Source organism: Homo sapiens, chromosome 1, assembly GCF_000001405.40.
Source record: "Homo sapiens chromosome 1, GRCh38.p14 Primary Assembly".
NCBI lineage: Eukaryota > Metazoa > Chordata > Mammalia > Primates > Hominidae > Homo > Homo sapiens.
This window is the reverse complement of record NC_000001.11, coordinates 9,278,435-9,281,261: the sequence shown is the minus strand read 5'-3', so window position 1 is coordinate 9,281,261 and position 2,827 is coordinate 9,278,435. Positions and strand designations below refer to the sequence as shown.

At 55.9% G+C, this 2,827-nt stretch overlaps 1 annotated feature.

Moving 5' to 3' along the window:
• Positions 1,770–1,939: an enhancer, noted in NCBI's record as "experimental_9566 CRE fragment used in MPRA reporter constructs". NCBI's record gives its function as "activates a minimal promoter by MPRAs in K562 erythroleukemia cells, with activity observed for both the introgressed and non-introgressed 1:9339467 variant alleles {active_cell/tissue: K562}" and the evidence as "EXISTENCE:reporter gene assay evidence [ECO:0000049][PMID:34662402]".

Genomic DNA, 2,827 nt, shown 5'->3' with positions numbered 1-2,827 from the left:
AGTGCTCTCGCTACATCTGCCACCCCTGAGAACGCTCCTTGCCTGTCATTTCCTGAGTGCAGGGCCATGTCTTGGTCATCCTTGCAGAAGACAAAGCCCTGGTATGTGAGAGCCTGCGGTGGGCAGATGAACAGGTGCACATGCAGACACACGGCCCTGCCCCCACCAAGTGGTGCTGCGGGTCTCTCGCTCGGACCCCGGGAGCTCATCGTGGGCCCTATGATAAAGTCCTCTCTGTGCGCCTCTTTTCTGGAAAGCAGGGTTTATTATTCAGTTCACAGAGGAGGAACAAGCTCACAGTGGTGAAACTGCCCTGTGCCACTCTCTCAGCAGCAGGGGTGGGATTTGAACTCAGACCTTTCTGACTCCAGAGTCCAGCTCTTAGCCTCACAGGGTGCTGTCTCCTCCCAGGTGTCCTGGAAAGGCCAAGGACAACAGGGCTGCCTCCATGTGCTTGCTCTTTCCTGCCTACAGAGGGTAGAAAATGTGCCACAGGGAAAGCCCAGCACCCATGTGTGTTTGGACAGGACTGGGGCTCAAAGGAAACCGCTCCATCTGCGAGTTGGATGGAGCAGGGGTGTGGACAGAGCGCGGGGCAGAGTGAGCACGACAGAGGCAACCCCTGAGCACGGGGACCCTGCAGCCGCTGCTGCTGATAAAAAACACATGAGGAGGAAACGCCCACAGGCAGCAGCGCTCAGTCCAGCTGAGCCCTGACAACCGCGGCTGATTCAGTCGTTGACTCAGTCGACAAGCACTTACCCAGAGGGAGGCCATGGGATGAGTCGTGGGTCCTTGCCCGCTGCCAGCGGCGGGGCGGGGAGTGGGGGCGGGGCGGGGAGTGGGGGCGGGGCGGGGAGTGGGGGCGGGGCGGGGAGTGGGGTCGGGGCGGGGAGGGGAGCACGGATCAATCACAGTCTGGAATGGAAAGGGAGGGCCTTGACTGCCATGTGCATGGCTGCCTACCCCACGACTGCCATTTGCTGAATGAATGAATGAATGAAAGGTTGACTCCAGGAGGAGCCGGCGCCCATCGCCCAGCCCTGCCTCACTGACCATCCCCGTGAAGCCAGGCCTGACTGGACCCCTCCCGAGGGAGACACCCTCTGATGATTGCCCAGTGCCCAGGACGCGACTCTCAAACTTTTCCCCAAAAGCACCCTCACCCACCTCAAGTGTGAATAGCTTGTGTTTTCTATTTGAAAGGGATGGAATTTTGCATTCTGCTCCAGAACGTTTCAGAGTAAAAATAATATTTCCCTTCAATTCTTGGGGTACAGTTTTTGTTCTGGGGAGATGGTGCCCCACTGGCCCTGTGGCTCCAAGTCTCAGGACTTCTTGGCTTGGTCAACTTCTTGGCTGACCTTCAAGGCCTTAGGGTCTGGCCTTGGGGAGTCAGGCCTCCAACAAGCCTTCATGCTAGCTTTCTCTCTCGCTCGCTTTGTCTCTCTCTCTCTCTCTCTCGCTCTCTCTCTCTCGCCCTCTCTCTCCAGGGTTCAACACAGCCCTCGGTGGGGAGGCTGCCGCTGGGACCCCGGCCCACAGTTGGCCTCTGCATGACCTCAGGCCCAACCCCTGGCACTTTCCGCCTCCTGTGAGCAACCTTTCGGCGTCTGCAGAGCTCGTGGCGTAAGAGCGGGCCAGGAATGTCACTTGCTTCCTCTTCCCTGGAGCGTCTACACTGCATTTTAGGACTTGGTGAAAATCCACGCAGGAGCACATGAAGTCTTAATATTTATGAGGAATCGAACCATGGCTGAGAGGGGAGAGGCTGCGGTGGCCCTGAGATTTCTGAGGCACTCGGGGTCATTTTAGCAGCCTGCGGTGGGGGAGCTGAGGAAGGGAAGCACTGCGACCCATGCGGATTCTCAGAGCAGGAAGAGGCTTCTTCCCCTCCCACCTCAGTCTCCTGTGAACTTTGCTCTCCAATGCAGGTGGGCGTTGGAGCCAACTGCCTGTAAGGCTCTGGTTATAAACACACCCCTCGGTGTGGTTTTCTTGGGGCATGACTTGCTTCTGAAATAACTTTATGATTAGAAAAACTTTTGGGTGGATATTCCCTTCCCTGGAACATGGAATCACAACTGCTAAAGTTGTTTTTTCTGTTCACTAGGCTGTCCTGATTTCTATGGCCTGGTAGACGCTTAGTGACAAGTTCCGGGATCCCTTGGAACTTTCACCTCCAGCCCCTGCACAGATATGTGTGGTTCTGTGCTCAGCATTTCCTTCTGGGAGCATCCCACCCAGGGCTGTGCAACACTCCAGGGATGGACAACCGGCCCCCATCCCAATCCAGCAAGTGATCGATTCAGACGTGAACCCTACCAGAATCCCCATGGGGAGGGGCTCTGGGCAGAATCCGATTGGAAGAGAGAGCACAGCCAGGCTTGAAACTGCCTTGGCACAGCCCTTGACAAAGACTGAGAAACTCTCAACCAGTCCTACCCAAGAATTGGTGGAGGAGGGAGGAGGCTGCTGGTGTTGGGGGAAGTGAGAAGGCACCCCAGGGGCTTCCCAATGCTGCAGCCACGGCATCCACGACAGACCCAGCCAGGGCCTCCCTAGGATGTACAAGGTGCAGCCATGCAGCTCGATGGCCTCCCTTCCTCTGGCATCTTGGGCCATCAAGACACTGAGAGCTACTTGGAGCCGTTTTCCCTTACAAGAAAAGCCAAATGCAGGAGGCAAGAAAATGGCCGATACAGACGGTGGAGCTGCCAGATAAAACAGAGGACACCTAGGCACATTTGGATTTCAAATAAACAGCAGATAACTTTTAGTATAAGTATGTCTCAAATGTTGCAAGGGACATACTTATATTAAAACT